Source organism: Homo sapiens, chromosome 2 (genome assembly GCF_000001405.40).
Source record: "Homo sapiens chromosome 2, GRCh38.p14 Primary Assembly".
NCBI lineage: Eukaryota > Metazoa > Chordata > Mammalia > Primates > Hominidae > Homo > Homo sapiens.
In genome coordinates, this window is record NC_000002.12 from 230,574,503 (window position 1) to 230,593,064 (window position 18,562).

Consider the following 18,562-nt stretch of genomic DNA (forward strand, 5'->3'; position numbering starts at 1 on the left):
TCTGCTCTCGCATTGTTATAAAGAACTACCTGAGACTAGGTAATTTATGAAGAAAATAGGTTTAATTAACTCATAGTTCCATAGGCTGTACAGGAAGCACGGCTGGGGAGGCCTCTAGGAACTTACAATCATGGCGGAAGGTGAAGGAGAAGCAGGTACATCATCACATGGTGAGGCAGGAGAGAGTGTGTGAAGGGGGAAGTGCCACACACTTGTAAACAACCAGATTTCATGAGAGCTCACTCACTATCATAAGAACAGCAAGAGAGGAGTCAACCCCCATGAGTCAATCACCTCCCGCCAGGCCCCTCCTCCAACCTTGGGGATTACAATTCCACATGAGATTTGGGTAGGGACACAAATTCAAACCAGACCAATGTGAAAGGGAAAAGCAACAGAAATATGCTAGCTTCTTTCTAACCTAATGTCAATACCAGAGCACACATATTCAATGAAGGTTGCCTCTCCCATTTCCCAAAGTGCCAGGTGAGGTGAGGGCACAAAAAGAGCACCAGGGATAACTGCATCATGGCTATGGAGTGCACTCCAGTTGAAATGCATTAGGAAGCAGACACTCTAAACTCAGGCGTCTGAGGTCCTGGAGCCCCACACGAATGGTCCTTGCCCTTCTCACCAGGCCTGGGCATTGATGCTGAGATGGAGGCTTCCAGGGGCTCTTTGCCTCACAGGAATCAGAGTCTTCACTGCTGATCGCTGCACGAAGGAACAAAATCCTTTAGGGTCTCAGTGTGGGATGCAGGAGCCAACACCGCAGGAAACGCACAATTAGGGACACCAGAAAAGACCCAGGAGCTTGTGTGACTTGCAGGTAGGAATGTCCCTGCCCAGCACAGTTGCAGTGCTCCTGCGGAATGCTGAGCCGCAGGGTCCTGGTGCTCCAGGCACTGAAACTAGACCCTCAGGCTGGGGGCAAATGGCCATAGTGGCCAGCTTTGCGTGTCTTGCTCTCCATTTCCTTACTTCCTCTCTCTTCTTTCCCTTCCCATTGTCTCTGTCCATTTCTCCACTCCTGCTTCTTTCTTGCAGCTTCTCCCTCTTTGTTTGTCAATCTCTGTAAACGCCTCTCTGGCATTTCTGTTTCTGCCTCTTTTGCCTCCTTGCACCTCTGTCACTCTCGCCTGGCTTTCTTGCATTACATACCTGCCCTCCACGTCTCCTCTGAGCCACTTCTCCCTCTCCCAGGTGTCTCTGTACTTTTCCATTTCCCCACCAACTTTCCTCTGTCGTGCAGAAGCTCCCTGAGCTAAACACCAGAATCCACGTCTCCCAGCATTCATCTGGGCTCCCTGGGCCACCACGTGGGACTCTGACCACACCCCCAGCCTGTCACTTCTGCTGTGACTCACACAGTGTCACCGCATCAGCCTTACCGATTATTACACCCTCCACCAGCCTTACCGATTATTTCAGGGGCTTGGTTACACGCCTTCCTTGCCATCTGGATGTCTTCCGGGAGCACAAAACTAGGTTGCACCCAATTTTTGGATCTGGATAGCTTTGCCCCTAGAACAAATAGTGATCCTTGAAGAATTTTCATCTTTCTCCCTCAAAAAAGCCTTGTGGTACCCCTCTTCCTCTCTCTCTACCCACTTCAGAGGATCACTCTGTCACTAAATTTCACCTTCTTTTATACTGCCTCACTCCAGATATGTTTCTTACTTTCTGTCTCTCTATGTTTATCTTTTTACCTTGAACTCTATTTTGTTTTTCTCTTTTCCCTTTACCTGTCATTCTTATTTACTAACTGATCATTGTCTTGGCCAAATTTTGTGATCTTCACTTAATTAACTTAATCATTAATAAAGACCTTAAGGGCCAGGCACAGTGGCTCATGCCTGTAATCCCAGCACTTTGGGAGGCCAAGGGGGGTGGATCACGATGTCAGGAGATTGAGACCATCCTGGCTAACACAGTGAAACCCCGCCTCTACTAAAAATACAACAAATTAGCTGGGCGTGGTGGCGGGCGCCTATAATCCCAGCTACTTGGGAGGCTGAGGCAGGAGAATTGCATGAACCCGGGAGGCGGAACTTGCAGTGAGCCGAGATTGTGCCACTGTACTCCAGCCTGGGCAACAGAGTGAGACTCCCTCTCAAAAAAAAATAATTAATTAATTAAAAAATAAATAAATAAAGACCTTAAGTTCTTAATTCTTATACTTATTTCCACAAAAGTAGCTTATTACGTGTACATGTACATATAAATATAATTCTTAGGCTGGGTGTGGTGGCTCACACCTGTTATCCCAGCACTTTGGGAGGCCAAGGCAGGCAGATCACCCAAGGTAGGGAGTTTGAACCAGCCTGGCCAACGTGGCAAAACTCCATCTCTACTAAAAATACAAAACTTGTGGGGCATAGTGGTGCATGCCTGTAATCCCAGCTACTCAGGAGGCTGAAGCAGTAGAATTGCTTGAGCCCAGGAAGCAGAGGTTGCAGTGAGCCGAGATCGCACCACTGCACTCGCCCTTCAGCATGGATGACAGAGCAAGACTCCATCTCAAAAATAAATAATTAAAAATAAATAAATATAATTCTTAGAACTATTTTTGTGAAGCTTTCCATACAAATACATCAGTGATGTCATGTTCGCCAAAATATATGTCCAGTTTTTAGGGCACAGAAATATGAATACTTTCATTTCCTGACAATATGAAGTGTGCTCTTTATTATGTGCCAGACACTGTCATGCTAGGTTGGAAGGACACAGCGAGAACAAGCAGCTGTGGTCCAGAGAGAGCGCATGCTAAGCACACGATCACAACGAGGCAGGAGTTTTATCTCACAGCAAGCAAGAAGTGCTCTGGAACAGACAGGCCAGTCCAAGAGACAGGAAGAGGCCTATGGGAAGAAATATCACGTGAGCAGGAGGTAGCCAGATTAGGGAGAAGATGAGTAGGATAGAGGCCAAGAAAACAGACCCTGATAGAAGACAGCTTGGGCAAAGTAATTTGAGTAACTAAAAGAAGCCAGCGTGACTTCTTGGAGTGAGAGAATAGAGGCTGGAGAAATAGGAAGGGCCCTCATTGCCCAGCCTTGGAAGTCTAGTAAAGGGATCAACTTAAACCCAGGTATCATCATGCCAGTCATTGGAGGTTAGGCAGGAAGACAGCACAAACATACCTGAACTTTGGTACGATATAGCAGCTGAAGTTCATGGGAGAGTTATCAGAGATCTGATTAGCATCATAGCATCAGAGATAGAGAAAAATGATCAGGTGGCAAATGCCACCAAGTACAGTGCACCGGGCTCGATGGTTGATGTGGCATAGGGGTTGAGGGAGGGAAGAACTCAGGAGGATTCTTGAGTTTTTCTTTTTTTTTTTTGGAGACACAGTTTCACTCTTGTTGCCCAGGCTGGAGTGCAATGGTGCGATCTCCCCTCACCACAACCTCCGCCTCCCAGGTTCAAGCGATTCTCCTGCCTCAGCCTCCCGAGTAGCTGGGATTACCAGCATGCACCACCATGCCCGGCTAATTTTTTTATTTTTAGTAGAGACAGGGTTTCTCCATGTTGGTCAGTCTGGTCTCGAACTCCCAGCCTCAGGTAATCTGCCCGCCTCAGCCTTCCAAAGTGCTGGGATTATAGGTGTGAGCCACTTGCCTGGCAAGATTCCTGAATTTCTTGCTTGAGAAAACTTGACAGTAATGGCCATTTTACCAGAAAGGGAACTCTGGAAGAGGAGGAGGAAGGGGAAAAGGATGAGGATGTGGTTTCATGGAAGAATGTGTCTCCTCTCTCGCTGCCACACTGACCCCCACCAATTTTTTATTTGCTCTTTACACTCACTCTCACTTCCTGGCTTCTTCGTGCCTCTCCCTCACTTTCTCTGTTCCTGGTATTTACATTGACCTCATGTTTCTCTCTCTGTATGATTTTTCTCACTGTCCCTCATTTGAGTTTTTAGTTTATGTCTCCTCTGCCATGTCTCTCACTTCCTCCCCCATGTCTCTGTGTTTCTGGGGCTTCCTTTGATCCTCTGTCTGCCTTGACCCTTCCAAGCATTTTCTTCCTGTGTCTTCTCCTTGTCTGAAAAGTCGTGTCCCTCCATTCCTTTTTTGGCTTTAACTCTACCTCCAGGGCCCCTTTCCCTTGCCCTCCCCATTCTGAAGGTTGTCTACAATGACCTTTCTTCCTTGCAAATATGATGGTCACAGACCTTGTTTGCCTGATCTTGTGGCAACTTCTAGCAAATAGGACAAACATTATTTCCTTGTCAATCCTCCACCAACCTGGGAAAGCTTAGACATCATGTCCACTTAGGTAAAACTGGGCTCCCTCCTAAAACTTGCTATTCCATGGCCCAATCATCCACCTCTTCTATACTCGCGCTCCTCAGCTTCTCCACCCAGGGTGCCATGCTCCAGGGAGGCGTTCGCCTCTCCTTTCTCTCCTGCCTGGAAGACTTAGGGCATGTACTCTCGGGGTCCTGCCAGTGAGTGCCTCTCACAGTGTTGCAGCCCGCGCACATCACATGCCTCATCCTGCTTGTTTCCTTCACAAATTTGAAAGCAACCAGAGGCTGGGCTCCTGTCGGGGAGGGAGGGGAGGAAGAGAAGCCCTTCCTCCCTCCACACCATGAGATAATCAGGTAATCGGTCACTTAAAGGGCAGGATTCAATTGCAGTACCTTGTCTACCATGTGGCAGTCTGCTGGGCATCTCTTCTGACCCTCTCTCCTTTTTTACTTGGAGAGCCTCGAGTTCCCTAGGCACTGAAGAGGGAACATAAAATGAGACACCAGATCCAGTGGCCGGGAAAAGGACAGAGATGTGACCACACTGAGCGCTGCGGTTGGGAGCAGAAGTGAAATGCTCCTGGGGAAGTGATGCTCCTCTCCGAGGACCCCTGCTGAGATCCAGCCAAGCCCTGCTCTGCCTCTTCCCATCTTGTCAGACCTGGTTCTCTCTCTCTCTCCTGCTCAGCCTTCCACCAGGATCCAATCCCCAGGCTTCTGCCCTAGGAAGGCATTTCTGCATCATGGACTTAGCCAGCTTCTCTCTTGTCTTCCGGTGCATCTGTCTCTCTCCTCTCCAGCAATGCTGCAGGAGAATGCATTCCTCATTCTCCATTTTCCCTTCCCAACTCTCTCCTTCTACATCTCTTCCAACCTACATATCAGGCTCCAGTCCTGTTCTCTCTGTGTCTCCGTGTCTTTTTCTGTCTTCCTCACAGCAACTAAAAGACATACCTTTCCATTACGTCAATGTCTGCCTGCAGTGGACATTGGTCTATCTTTCTACTGTCATTCAGGACTCCTTGGGGTCTCCCCTTAGATACTGAGCATGTGACACAGCACTGCCTTCCCCCTTCTGTGTGTGCTACAGACGCCTACCACTAGTCACCCATGCAAACACCTGGCCATCATCAGCCTTACCTACTTGGGTGCATGTGTTTGCTTGCTGTGTTCCAAGAGCATCACCTGGGCCAAGGATAGAACATTCTGGCTTTATATATGTTGACTTCACATCCTAGACAGGCTCAGAGGTTTCTGTTCTGGTTCCAGAATGGATGGCCCCTAGATGACATTATGATTTCATAAATATGGCACTGTGACATCATAAATCAAAACCTAAAGTTTTTATTTAAATGCATTAATAAATTAATCAAATATCCTTTTTGATCATGTATCCCGATTGTCAATGACATCAGAATGACCTTCCACAGCTCTGAGGGTTCTCTTATATTTCTTCTATGTCATTTCAGAAAAAGTGATCATAAAACACTGAACAAAGAAATAAAATTTGTTATGGACATTATGGTCTAAGGATGAGGGACATTAGGAAAAATAGAAACAAGAAGATGACTGAGAATCTAGAAACAGAAGCTAGTTATGGCACAAAAGTACTGAAGGGTTTTTGAAGAGGCCCATCTGGCACCTGAAAGGTAGCTCCTAGCTGCCTGCCCCAGGAATGATGGGTGAGGGTTTGTATGGGAGGCACAGTGGTGCCATGGTCCTATGTGAAGGACCCAACAGGGAAGAAAGCCTATCCCACAGAAGGAACATGCCCATCATTTCCCTCCAGCCACCACAGCACAGGCCATCACTGGATGTAAGCTCAAAGCACCAAGGCAGCAGCCAGATTCAAGTAGATGCAGGCAGAAAAACTGTGAAGCAGACACATGGGTAAAACGAGCAGGCTCAGCACCAGCAGGAACCAGTAGCAAGCGTGCTTAAGGGTTGTAAGAGGAAGAAGTCCTCCCAGGCAACCTGGAGGATAAGGACTTATTATTTAAATCCTGAACTTGGAGACACTGCAAATGCAAACACTAAAAATTCAGGGCAATCATAAACACAGAGGCAACCCTCTCTTCCCTTACCCCCAGCATGTTCCAGAATGGCGCAAGAACAGCAGAGGATCACAGCACAATCAAGAGGAACACACCAACAAAAGATGAGGAATCTGAGCATGTCCAGGTCAAGCTTTGAAAAGGGTCTTCACAGCCAGGTGCAGTGGCTCAAGCCTGTAATCCCAGCACTTTGGGAGGCTGAGGCAGGAGGATCGTTTGAGCCCAGGAGTTCAAGACCAGCCTGGGCAATATAGTGAGACCCTATCTCTACAAAAAAATTAAAAATTAGCTGGGCGTGGTGGTACATGCCTATGGTCTCAGCTACTGGGGGGCTGAGATGAGAGGATCGCTTCAGGCCAGGAGTTCACCGCTGCAGTGAGTTATGACTGTGCTACTGCACTCCAGCCTGGGCAACAGAGGGAGGCTCTGTCTTTAAAAAATACATATAGAGGCCGGGCGCAGTGGCTCACACCTGTAATCCCAGCACTTTGGGAGGCCGAGGTGGGCGGATCACGAGGTCAGGAGATCAAGACCATCCTGGCTAACATGGTGAAACCCCGTCTCTACTAAAAATACAAAAAATTAGCCAGGCAAGGTGGCGGGCGCCAGTAGTCCCAGCTACTCGGGAGGCTGAGGCAGGAGAATGGCGTGAACCCCGGGGGGCGGAGCCTGCAGTGAGCCGAGATTGCGCCACTGCACTCCAGCCTGGGCGACAGCGGGACTCCGTCTCAAAAAAATAAATAAATAAATAAATATATATATATACACACACACATACATACATACATACATAGAGAGAGAGAGAGAGAGAGAGTTTTCACCATCTGGAGCTGGCAGATGCTGCCTGATCTTTTTTTTTTTTTTTTTTTTTTTTGAGACAGAATCTCACTCTGTCACCCAGGGTGGGGTGAAGTGGCGCAATCTCAGCTCACTGCAACATCCACCTCCTGGGTTCAAGCGATTCTCATGCCTCAGCCTCCCAAGTAGCTGGGACTTCAGGCACGTGCCATCAAGCATGGATAATTTTTATATTTTTTTTTTTTGTAGAGATGGGTTTTCGCCATGTCGGCCAGGCTGGTCTTGAACTCCTGGCCTCAAGCGATCTGCCCACCTCAGCCTCCCAGAGTGCTGGGATTACAGACGTGAGCCACCGCGCCCAGCCCCGCCTGATTCTTGAAGTCAGACTCCAGCCCTGAGAGTGGGGGACTGGGTCACTGCACCCTTGGCTGAGAGGGCCTAGGCCAGACAACCCTGCTGAGTGTCCTCCATGAGACATTCTGGTAACTGGCAATGGCAGAGTGAACTGCCTTTGTTCCCAGAGCTACCCTGCCCAGGGCCCTTAGCTCAGTTCCTGTGAAGTCCTGGTTGCCTCATGCCCACCCCCTTTCACACAACACCCTCCCTCTCCACATCTGTTCATGCTTTCTCATTGGCCTTTCCATGAGGACTCAGAGTTTGGGTCACCTCCACTTCTTCCAGCTCTTTGTATTCTTTTTTCCCTGGATCTTTTTTTCTGCATGTATTTCCCCATTTTTGTTTCATGTTTCTGTTTCTATCTTTTCCATTAGATTCCCTGGGTAACAGGAAGAATGTAACTTCTGTCACAATAGCGGAAAGATAGAAACAACCCATCATTAACTGATGAATGAATAAACGAAATGTGGTAGAGATGTATGATGGAATATTATTCAGCCATCAAAAGGACTTGAGATACTAATTCATGTTACCACGTGGCAAAAACCTGGAAACATCTTATTAAGTGAAGGAAGCCCAGACACAGAAGGCCACATATTGTGTGATTCCATTTTCATGAACTGTCCAGAGTAGGCAAATTTGTAGAGGCGGAAAGTAGATTACTGATTGCCAGGGATTAGGGGCAGAGGGAAATTAGATAATTGGTTAATGGGCATAGGGTTTCCATTTGGGATGATTAACCCGTTTTGAAACTAGAGACAGGAGGTCGTACAACATTGTGAATATACTAAGTGTCACTGAATTCCACACTTTAAAATGGTTAACATCTGAATTTTACCTCCTTCCCTCCCAAAAAACACAACAACAAAGGCTCTGGGTTTATCTTTTCTCATCTGACCTACGCAACCCCATACATTGTCCCTCTGGGTTTCAGTTTCCTAATCTGCAAAATGGGCACATAAATAATACTAATCTCCAAAGGCAGCCATGAGCAATAAACCCACAGCTGCCACGGAGCAGGCATTCCATCACAGTGAGCTGTTCATAATACGGTTATTTTTATTGTTGTCCTTGACTGTCTTTCATTTCCCCTCCTTCTTCCTCCCTCTCTCAAAATACCCTCATCCTCTTCTCAGCATATGCGTCACTCCCTCTTTGTGTCTTTCTGTATGACTAAGTTTCTCTTTGAATATTCCTGCTGCTGAACAACATGTCCACGTTTAAATTGGCCCCTTCTTCTGGCATCACCAAGAGTATCTTCTTTGACATTGTTGGCCATAGGCACATCCTTCTTAGCCCTTCACCGCTTCTCACTGAAGGTCTCCTATAAACTAGTAATTCACACTCAGATCCTCATTCTACCCTCCGGGTTACTGGGGGGAAAGTCTGTTTTTGCCACCTCTTGAGAGTGCTCTTGGATTCCAGCTGGAGTCAGGTCACTTTGGAATCAACACAAAGTGACCCTCAACCAGCTCTGCCACCATCCCCAGCAGTGCAGTCTTCCCTCAGACCTCGGTTCCCTGTCTCCTTTTCTTCTTAGTAGACCAGAAAACAAAGTTTTTGTCCAGACATTATTACCTTGTTTACAGGTTGGTTGAAAGCTGGGCATTTTTGTTGTCTCTTTTCCATCCCTTTTCTGGGAAAAGGGGAGCACTGAACAAAGAAAAGAATTAATTAGGGCCTGCAAGCAAGTGACCAGGAACTCCATCTCATGACCACATGAACGAAGCACCATGTGTTCTTACAATTCAGTGGGAAACTCCTAGCCCTTCAGTCACTCTGAATCTCAGTGGCTTGTGACTTGGTGTTGCTTGTTTCTTCCTCTGAGGCAGCCAAGAAAGAAAATAACAGCACAAAACCACTGAAGTCCTATAGATGATGAGCCTCTCAGGTTTTAAGGATGATGGAGCAGTAGAAAAATTGTAAACCATAATTAATCATCCAACAAGATGATCAGAGAGGCGTGAAAGCTTATCTCCATACAAATTCTGTAAGTGGAATGTCTCTGTGAACTGTGCAAATCTTACAGAAGAAACAAAGGGATTTCCCGAGGAGAAGAGCTAAGATCCTAGAGAGATGCCTCTAGGTAAGAGAAACCCAACAGCCTTAAAGGTGGGGCTAGAAAACAGCAGAGTTTTGGCTAAATTGGGTCTGGAAAGATGAGAGGCTCCCAAAGAGAGAGGACATGGTGGAGGAACTAGACAGACTTCCCCAGGGGTGGCCCAGACCCAAGGAACAAAGGGAGGACTCTCTGAAGTCTACAATCAGGGAGCAAATATTGCAGCACTGGGAAATGTCCTGAGACACCTGGACCAAGGTCCTCAGAGACTGCCAACGAAAGGAGGCCAGGGCGCAGGTTAGTTATATTCACACCGCCTAGCACAGGGCCTGGGACATGTAAGCATTTCTTTATTATTTTTTTTTAAAGGAGTCTCACTCTTTGTTGCCCAGGCTGGAGTGCAATGGTGCGATCTCAGCTCACTGCAAACTCCGCCTCCCAGGTTCAAGCGATTCTCCTGCCTCAGCCTCCCGAGTAGCTGGGATTACAGGCATGTGCCACCGTGCCCGGCTAATTTTGTATTTTTAGTAGAGATGGAGTTTCTCCATGTTGGTCAGGCTCCCGACCTCAAGTGATCCGCCCGCCTCGGCCTCCCAAAGTGCTGGGATTACAGGTGTGAGCCACCGCGCCCGGCCGCATGTGAGCATTTCATGAATACTTGCTAAATGAGCGACTGACCAAGTGAAAGAATGAAAACCAGACCTAGACCCCAAAAGACAGGGGAGAGAATTGATTACCCTTTTTGAAGCTTTTATGAATCTCAATTAAATCGGGATACTCCTTCAGGTTAATCCTGCTGAACAGGACTGACAGAACTGAACAATCAAACACCTTCTCCAGGTGGCAGAGAACCTGATACACAACTCTCTGTATAGGAATCGAGTTTATACGGGCTTCTTGAGAATACTGTTAAAAAATTCAATGGTAAAAGTATACAAAATAATAGCTTTAAAGTTAAAAAAAGATTGACAATGTAATTGCATAGAATACTTCCATTGTTCTCAGTGTAGGCTACTATTTTTCATGTAATATTCTAGAACTCCTTAAATATTTGATCCACTGCGTTAGAAAAACAAGTCAACCCTTCCTCTTGTCTTTTGAGCTCTCATCCTGCCCAGGATGCCGTGGGAATAAATCTTATGGTGATTTTGTTGTCTGCGCAGCAGTCACTGCCCCCACACTCCCCACCTTCCCCCTGTGGTATGAGAAGTCCTGAACAGGCTCCCAGAGATAGGGAGATGGTTCTTCCCTTGCCATAAAGAACACAACAGGAAGAGTACAATCACACACTGAAGACATGGCTTCCTTCTCTGTACCTCAGGGCACTGTTCAAAACACCTGAATTCCAAGGCTCCAGAACTACCCAAGAAAATTTAAACACTTTAGACAAGACAATAGCAAGGCAGAAATTTGTTTGATAACAATTATAATGGCACAATTCTCTGGAGGTTTCATCTGACATAAATAGACATTACAAAGAAATACTGCTTCCATCATCTTAGCTATCTTAATTTTGTTTTATTCTTGTATATTGTATAAATCACTACATATTTGTAGAGCACATCCGTTTCAATTTCACTCCAGACATGTCACCATTACCATCCACTCCCACCCCAATACTTGCTACAAAAGAACAGAGTGGCCAGGCACAGTGGCTTACGCCTGTAATCCCAGCACTTTGGGAGGCCAAGGCGGGTGGATCACCTGAGGTCAGGAGTTCAACACTGGCCTGACCAATATGGTGAAACCCTGTCACTACTAAAAATACAAAAATTAGCCAGGCGTGGTGGTGGGCGCCTGTAGTCCCAGCTACTCGGGAGACTGAGACAGGAGAATTGCTTGAACCCTGGAGGCAGAGATTGCAGTGAGCTGAGATTGTGCCACTGCACTCCAGCCTGGGTGACAGAGCAAGACTCTGTCTCAAAAAAAAAAAAAAAAAAAAAAAAAGAACAGGGCTTCAGTTAGAAATAGAGTGTCTTGTCCAGGCAAGGTGGCTCACGCCTGTAATCTCAACACTTTGGGAGGCTGAAGTAGGAGGTTCACTTGAGGCTAGGAGTTTGAGACCAGCCTGAGTAACATAGCAAGACCCCATCTCTACCAAAAAAAAAAAAAAAATTAGAAAGATGTGGTGGCATGCACCTGTAATCTCCCAGCTACCCGGGAGGCTGAGGTGAGAGGTTTGCTTGTACCCAGGAGACCTAGGCTGCAGTGAGCCATAATTGTGCCAATTTACTCCATCCTGGGCCACCGAGTGAGATGCTGTCTCTAAAAAAAAAAGAAAAAGAAATAGAAGTGTCATCTTTAATGACATCTGTTTACCCCATTACCTTCTACCTTATACAATAATTAACCAACAGAAAAGGGTCTTCCCACAAAAGGCATAAAAGGCCTATCAGGCAGTTAGCAATATACTAAACTTTGAATCCAGGATGCCAAATATAAATTAATGTGGGGGCCGGACTACAGTGGGTGACGTAATAAACTTCACTTATAGTATACATTTTTTCAGTGATAAAGGAATTGTCTCTGAGGCTTTCAAGAAAAGGAAATGGCTTTGTTATTGCATTTGCTATCTCCACCTTATTCTCCTTGAAGTGATTGGAAAAGATCTCACAGGAAATCTCCTTCTTCTGGACCACTGCAAACATCTTAAGGAAAAAAAAATACAAAGAGAAAGTAAACATCAAGATTCCCAGATGCCTTTCCTAGCCAAAACATTCCAGGCCCAGATGACTTCACTTGCAAGTTCTTCAAAACATACATTTAAGAAAGAAAATAACCAATCTTACACAAACTCTTCCAGTGAAGAAAGAAAAAAGGAACACACTCTAACTCACTAGAGAAGGATAGCATAATTCTGATATACAACCTGACAAAAGCATTACAAAAATGAAAAGTAGAGGTTACTATCTCTCGTGGACAGAGATGGGAAAACTGCAACAAAACATTAGCAAGTCAAATCCAGCAATAGGTAAAAAGAATAATACATCATGACTAAGTGAGACTTATTCCAGGAATGCAAGAATTCTTTAACATTTAAAAATCAGGAAATCATGCTTGTTTCGGCAACACATACACTAAAATCGGAACAATACAGAGAAGATTAGCATGGCCCCTGCACTAGGATAACACATAAATTTGTAAAACACTCCATTAAAAAAAAATCAGGAGGCCGGGTGCCGTGGCTCACACCTGTAATCCCAGCACTTTGGGAGGCTGAGGCAGGTCACGAGGTCAGGAGTTCGAGACCAGCCTGGCCAACATGATGAAACCCTGTCTCTACTAAAAATACAAAAATTAGCCAGACATGGTGGTGCGTGCCTGTAATCCCAGCTACTCAGGAGGCTGAGGCAGGAGAATTGCTTGAACCTAGGAGGTGGAGGTTGCAGTGAGCCAAGATTGTGCCATTGCACTCCAACCTGGGCAACAGAGCAAGACTCTCGTCTCAAAAAAAAAAAAAAAAAAAATCAGGAAATGTATATCACCAGATTGACAAAATAAAGGGGAAAAATATATGATAATTTCAATAGATCCAGAAAAAGCTAAAATATAATAAAATATCTGTTCATGATTTTTAACTCTCAGAAAACTAAGAATAGAAAGTAACTTTTTTAATATAATGAAGTATATAAACAAACAAAACCCTATGGCTAACACTATACTTAAATGTGAAATACTAAATACTTCCCCACTCAATTTGAGAACAAGACAAAAATGTCTACTGTCACCATTTCCATTTAACACTTACTAGAAATCCTAGATAATGCAATCAGGTGATAAAAAGAAATGAAAAGAATAAACCCAAAAGGGAGGAAATGTAACTACCATTATTTGCAGATGACTATATACTTGGAAAATCTAAAGAAATGAACTATTAGAATTAATTAGTAACTTCAGTAAAGTATCTGGATTCAAGGTTAATATGCAAAAATCAATTGTATTTTTGTATACTAGCAAATTATAAGTTTAAATAAAAATAGAAAAACAATATCCTTTTCAAAAGCATCAAAACCACTAACAATAAAGGTAAATCTAACAAAAGATGTTCCAGAACACTACACTGAAAATCATAGAACTTTTGCTGAGAGAAATTAAAGAAAGCCAAAATAAATGGAAAGGTATATTTGTGGATTGAAGACTAAATATTAATATGTAAGTTATCCCCAACTGATTCATAGATTCAATATAATTTTAATAAAATTCAAGTGGAATTGTTTGTGGAAATTGACAAATTGATTTTAAAATATAAATGAAAATGCAAAAGACCAAAGTTAGCCAAAAGAGTCTTGAAAAAGAATCACAATGTTTTAACTTCATATAAAGTTACAATAACTAAGACAACATGATATGGGCATAAAGATAAACATATAAATCAACAGAGACTACAAGAAAGAGAAACACACACATAAGGTCACCAAATTTACAACAAAGACACCGCCACATTTCAGTGGGGAAAACGATGGTCACTTCATGAAATGGTATTGTTGGAGCAATTGAACACCCTACCTCATACCATACACAAAAATTTATTTCAAATGAATCATAGACCTAAATATGAAAGATAAAATAGTAAAGCTTCTAGAGCAGGTAGTATAATATCTTCTTGGCTTAAGGTAGGCAAAGATTTCTTGCAAAAGATCCCAAAACACTAACTATGAAAGAAACCACTGACAAATTAGACTTACTTAAAACTAAGAACTTTTGTTCATCAAAAGACACTATTAAGAGAGTGAAAAAAAGCCACAGAATATGTGAAGATATTCACAACACATATCCAACAGAAGACTTCTATGTAGAACATGTAGGAAGAATGTCTAGTAATTAGAACACAAAAATCCCAATTTTTTTTAAAAAAATAGGCAAAATAACAGGCATTTCATAACAAAATACTCAAATGACCAATAAACATATCAAAAAGTGCTCAAAAGCATTGTTTTTCACGGAAATGCAAAGTAAAAGCTCAATGAGATACCACTATGCCAAGATACCACTATCTATTCACCAAAATGGCTAAGATCTACAAAAAAAAAAAAAACCTAGCATCAAATGTTGAGAAGAATATGCTGTTTGAAACACTCATACGTGGCTAGTGGAGTGACAATTAGGACACCCACTTTGGAAAACTGGCAGTGTCTACTAAAGCCACCCTATGACCGGGCAATTACACTCCTAGGTCTATACCAAGAAAAACAAAGCAAAACCAATACAAGAAACCTCAGGGTTCAAATGTCTTTGTCTCACCCAGGTAACATTTGCAAAAGGGTAAGCCAGGATAGGTAGCGTTCCATCACCAGCTATCACTTGCCACTTTTTACCTGATTTCTCAGAGCTTAGTTTCTTCTACTTTACAATATGCAGTTGGCTTTATGACCCAGTTCAAAGAAGTTTTGGAATAAAACTAAGTATAAGTAAATAAATATAAAAACCCACATGGAGAAAGATGACAAAGGAAGGGAGAAAAAGACGCATCCTCTGTTCACTTGCCACCTCCACCTGCTGACTTCCTGGTCCTGCTACTTTCTAGGCTGCAGAGCCCCATGGGGGCTGACACACCATCCGTCAACATCTATGAACTCTCAGGCCCAATGTGGGCTTTCCAACATGGCTCCCAGGGACCAGAACAAAAAGTCTGAACTGACTCACCCAGAAAGTAGAAAAGGGAAGTGAAAGTATTAATATTTCTGAATGCCTCTGTATTTGTGAAAACTAGGCCACAGATAGTGGGGTTTCTCAACTCTTGTGAAAATATGGTAGCCGGGAATTAAGAAGGACTTACAGAATCATGACTGGAGGACCAGAAGAGGGTACAGGCCAAGGAGGAGGAACAGGAGGCCAACTCCAAGAAGTCCATGGAAGTCAGGGGATCATGTGTTTATGCAAAGGAAAGAGGGCAGAAAACTCTATTTGACCAAAGCTGACTGAAGTTGTTTCTAGGTGAAGTAACATAGTTGATGTTAGAGAGAAGTAAAACTCTGTTTGCCTCCTCCCCTTGCAGACATGGCCATGGGAAAAAAAAAAAAAAGGGAAAGACAGAAACTTCCAAGCCTTTCTCAGGCCTATGAGTTGGTGGGGCACATTGTGACCTTGACTGGACAAGTTAGACCCCAAGCATTTGGATATAGGTTGGAGGAAGCTGAAATGCTCTACATCATAAAGTCAGGGGAATGCCCTTAGAAATTTCTGGAAAGCAGGCAGGGAGGAAAAAGAGAAACCTCTGGACCACTGGGGCCAGAGGCAGGAGCCAAGTTGGTAAAAATAGCCAAGCTTTTAAAGATAGTACAGATATAAGGCTTTTAAAAAATATCCCCAGAATTTGACACTCCTCCCATTGACAGGTGGAGTCTGTGTCCCCTTTCCTTTAATCTGGGATATGTGACTGCTTGACCAACAGAATGTTTGAATATGGCAGAAGCAATGCTATGCTGATATTAAGACCAGGTCTTAAACCACAGGAGGGCCCCAGCCAGCCAGCCAGCCATGTGGTGCGCCATATTGGAAGTTGATGCTGCAGCCCTGGTCGAGCTGCCAGGAGATACCCATCTAGAGCAGACACACACCATCTCCACTGAGCTCTGTCCAAACTGCAGGTGTATCACGAAATAAAATAAGACTTTTATTGTTTTAAATCACTGCTTTAGGGTAGTTTTTTTTTTCACAGTAGTATAACTAGAACAGATTTTGAAGTAGGATGCAGTTATAACAAAAACATAAAACATGGGGCATTTGGCTGTGGGACAGAGCAGTGGATGGAAGCCTAAAGGTGTTCCAGAAGATGTCAGTGCAGTGTATGAGAAAGCGAGAGAAACACTAGTGGAATCTGGAGGAAGGAGACCCTTGTTATATAGTAGTAAAAGTTCTGTAAAACTCTCACCTGCAGTCATGGGGAAGTAGAAAATGTACCTAACAAAATCAATGACCTAGAGATGTCCAGGCAGTGGAGCTCAGAAATGATTCTCATGGGATGGGCCAAGAGGATGAGAACCAAGATTATCTAGGTCTTAAGGGGTGAGATGAAGATCCAGCTACATTTATGTTTGTACACAGTGATTTTTTTCACTCATACTCTGATATTATTCAAGAAAGATTTGAAGTGACTTTTTAAAATACTGAAATGTATCAGTACAAAGTTAAAGATAAATTGGAGCAAAGAGAGAATGAAAGTAGGACATGAACTAAAACCAGGGACCAGAACTCTGAGCCGAACTGTGGGGCAGAGACAGGGAGGCAGCTGGGAGCCCCAGGGATGCTAGAATCTAGGGCTTAAGGTGAGCAGAGCCCAAAAGCAGGTGAGGATTCAGGGGCCCCAGGGGTACCGTGATCCAGAATGATGCTTTCCAAATCATGTTCCACTGAATCTGACTTCTGACTGTTTTTTGGTTTGTTTGTTATGTTTTGTTTTGTTTTTGATACAGAGTCTCGCTCTGTCACCCAGGCTGTAGTGCAGTGGCATGATCTTGGCTAACTGCAACCTCTACCTCTCTGGTTCAAGCAATTCCCCTGCCTCAGCCTCCCGAGTAGCTGGGACTACAGTCACACGCCACCACATCTGGCTAATTTTTCTTGTATTTTTAGTAGAGATGGGGTTTCACCATGTTGGCCAGACTGGTCTCAAACTCCTAACCTCAGGCAATCCACCCACCTCAGCCTCCCAAAGTGCTGGGATTACGGGTGTGAGACACTGCGCCTGGCTGACTGTTTAAGAGGAATCCCAGGACATAAGGGTTCTGTGCCCAAATAATGAAAAATGTGGGTCAACGAGGCTTCTATCCTTCTTCTCCTGCACCCCCCACCCCTGGCTTGCGTTCTTGCGTTTCTCTCCCCACAAATTGGGTACACATCCCAGCACGCCAATGAGGACATCTTCACCGGTGGACAGGCACATGCAGGTCCTGCACATGCGTGGGTCTCTCCCTCTCTCTGCCTTCTCCCTCCCTCTCCCTCTCTCTCCCTCCCCCACCCTCTCTCTCTGGCTCTGACTTGTCACTTGTGTGTCACACGTCTCACTGAAGCAGGATGTGCTCCCTCCCAGCAGAACCATCTCTCCAGAGTGCTGCTCTCTTTTGCTCCCAACCATTATGGGGCAAGTTAACCTAAGCAAGAGAGTGGCCCAAATGTGCTGACTTCTCTGACTCCCTTGAAAGAACAAAGCACTTTGGTGTTCCTCAGATGGCTGTTGGGAGGATTAGAACTCTTGTGGTTCAGAAATAACCCTTTGATTCTAAACCCCATGCCCTAGTCAATAGTACTCCTTCCTGGAGTCTTTCAAAAAAATCATTCCAGGCCAGGCACAGTGGCTCATGCCTATAATCCCAGCACTTTGGGAGGCCGAGGTGGGAGGATCACTTGAGGTCAGGAGTTCAAGATCAGCCTGGCCAACATGGTGAAACCCCATCTCTACTAAAAATACAAAAATTAGCCAGGTGTGGTGGTGTGCACCTGTAATCCCAGCTACTCAGGAGGCTGAGGCAGGAGAATCACTTGAACCTGGGAGGCGGAAGTTGCAGTGAGCCGAGATCATGTCATTACACTCCAGTCAGTGACAAGAGCAAGACTCCATCTCAAAAAAAAGGAATGAGGATCTTTACACTATGGGGAACATATCAGATTCTTGGTTAAGATTCAGAATAAACACAAACCTAAGTGGTAAGGCGAGTAAAAGACCTATGACAGAGCACTTGGCTTAAAGAGAGAGGACACTCTGGTTGACTCTGCAAATCCCCTCTGCCTCAGATGACTGCTCCAAGCCAGTTGTGGTCATCTGTCTTCCTCCCTGGTCACTCGCTCATGGATGGTCAGGACTAAGCCAGTTTGCACTGATGACATGCAAGGAGTTTTCCTGGAGCTTCTGTGCAAAACCAGCCAGTCTTCCTCACCCTGCGGCTCTAAACAAGGCCCTGTCTCTGAGCTGCTGCCAGCAGTCATCTTATGACCACGAGAGGAACCACCAACCTCAGGGTGAACATATTCTCATTATTTAGGCCAACTTGAGTCAAGATA

The 18,562-nt window shown here is 44.7% G+C and overlaps 1 long non-coding RNA gene and 1 pseudogene across 4 annotated transcripts, besides 6 other annotated features; one reads left to right on the plus strand and one right to left on the minus strand.

Annotated features, from left to right (window-relative positions):
* Nucleotides 1-43: 43 nt before the first annotated feature.
* Nucleotides 44-15,154, minus strand: LOC112268431 (uncharacterized). 4 transcript variants are annotated; one of them, XR_002959451.2, is made up of 7 exons: nt 14,996-15,154; nt 12,145-12,213; nt 9,085-9,159; nt 5,399-5,539; nt 4,652-4,735; nt 1,420-1,524; nt 44-714 (listed from the first exon to the last, which is right to left on the minus strand). It is a non-coding gene; the product is annotated as an uncharacterized LOC112268431 (long non-coding RNA). The 4 variants fall into 4 exon arrangements; XR_002959455.2 differs by lacking the exons at nt 44-714; nt 1,420-1,524 and adding an exon at nt 2,668-3,694; XR_002959453.2 differs by lacking the exons at nt 9,085-9,159; nt 12,145-12,213.
* Nucleotides 3,893-4,032: an enhancer, noted in NCBI's record as "active region_17227". NCBI's record gives its function as "activates an Ori minimal core promoter by ATAC-STARR-seq in GM12878 lymphoblastoid cells {active_cell/tissue: GM12878}" and the evidence as "EXISTENCE:reporter gene assay evidence [ECO:0000049][PMID:35858748]".
* Nucleotides 8,372-8,591: an enhancer, noted in NCBI's record as "active region_17228". NCBI's record gives its function as "activates an Ori minimal core promoter by ATAC-STARR-seq in GM12878 lymphoblastoid cells {active_cell/tissue: GM12878}" and the evidence as "EXISTENCE:reporter gene assay evidence [ECO:0000049][PMID:35858748]".
* Nucleotides 9,712-9,851: an enhancer, noted in NCBI's record as "active region_17229". NCBI's record gives its function as "activates an Ori minimal core promoter by ATAC-STARR-seq in GM12878 lymphoblastoid cells {active_cell/tissue: GM12878}" and the evidence as "EXISTENCE:reporter gene assay evidence [ECO:0000049][PMID:35858748]".
* On the plus strand, nt 12,620-12,719 carry RNU6-451P (RNA, U6 small nuclear 451, pseudogene; annotated as a pseudogene).
* Nucleotides 14,752-14,901: an enhancer, noted in NCBI's record as "active region_17230". NCBI's record gives its function as "activates an Ori minimal core promoter by ATAC-STARR-seq in GM12878 lymphoblastoid cells {active_cell/tissue: GM12878}" and the evidence as "EXISTENCE:reporter gene assay evidence [ECO:0000049][PMID:35858748]".
* Nucleotides 15,062-15,311: an enhancer, noted in NCBI's record as "active region_17231". NCBI's record gives its function as "activates an Ori minimal core promoter by ATAC-STARR-seq in GM12878 lymphoblastoid cells {active_cell/tissue: GM12878}" and the evidence as "EXISTENCE:reporter gene assay evidence [ECO:0000049][PMID:35858748]".
* Nucleotides 18,149-18,198: an enhancer, noted in NCBI's record as "active region_17232". NCBI's record gives its function as "activates an Ori minimal core promoter by ATAC-STARR-seq in GM12878 lymphoblastoid cells {active_cell/tissue: GM12878}" and the evidence as "EXISTENCE:reporter gene assay evidence [ECO:0000049][PMID:35858748]".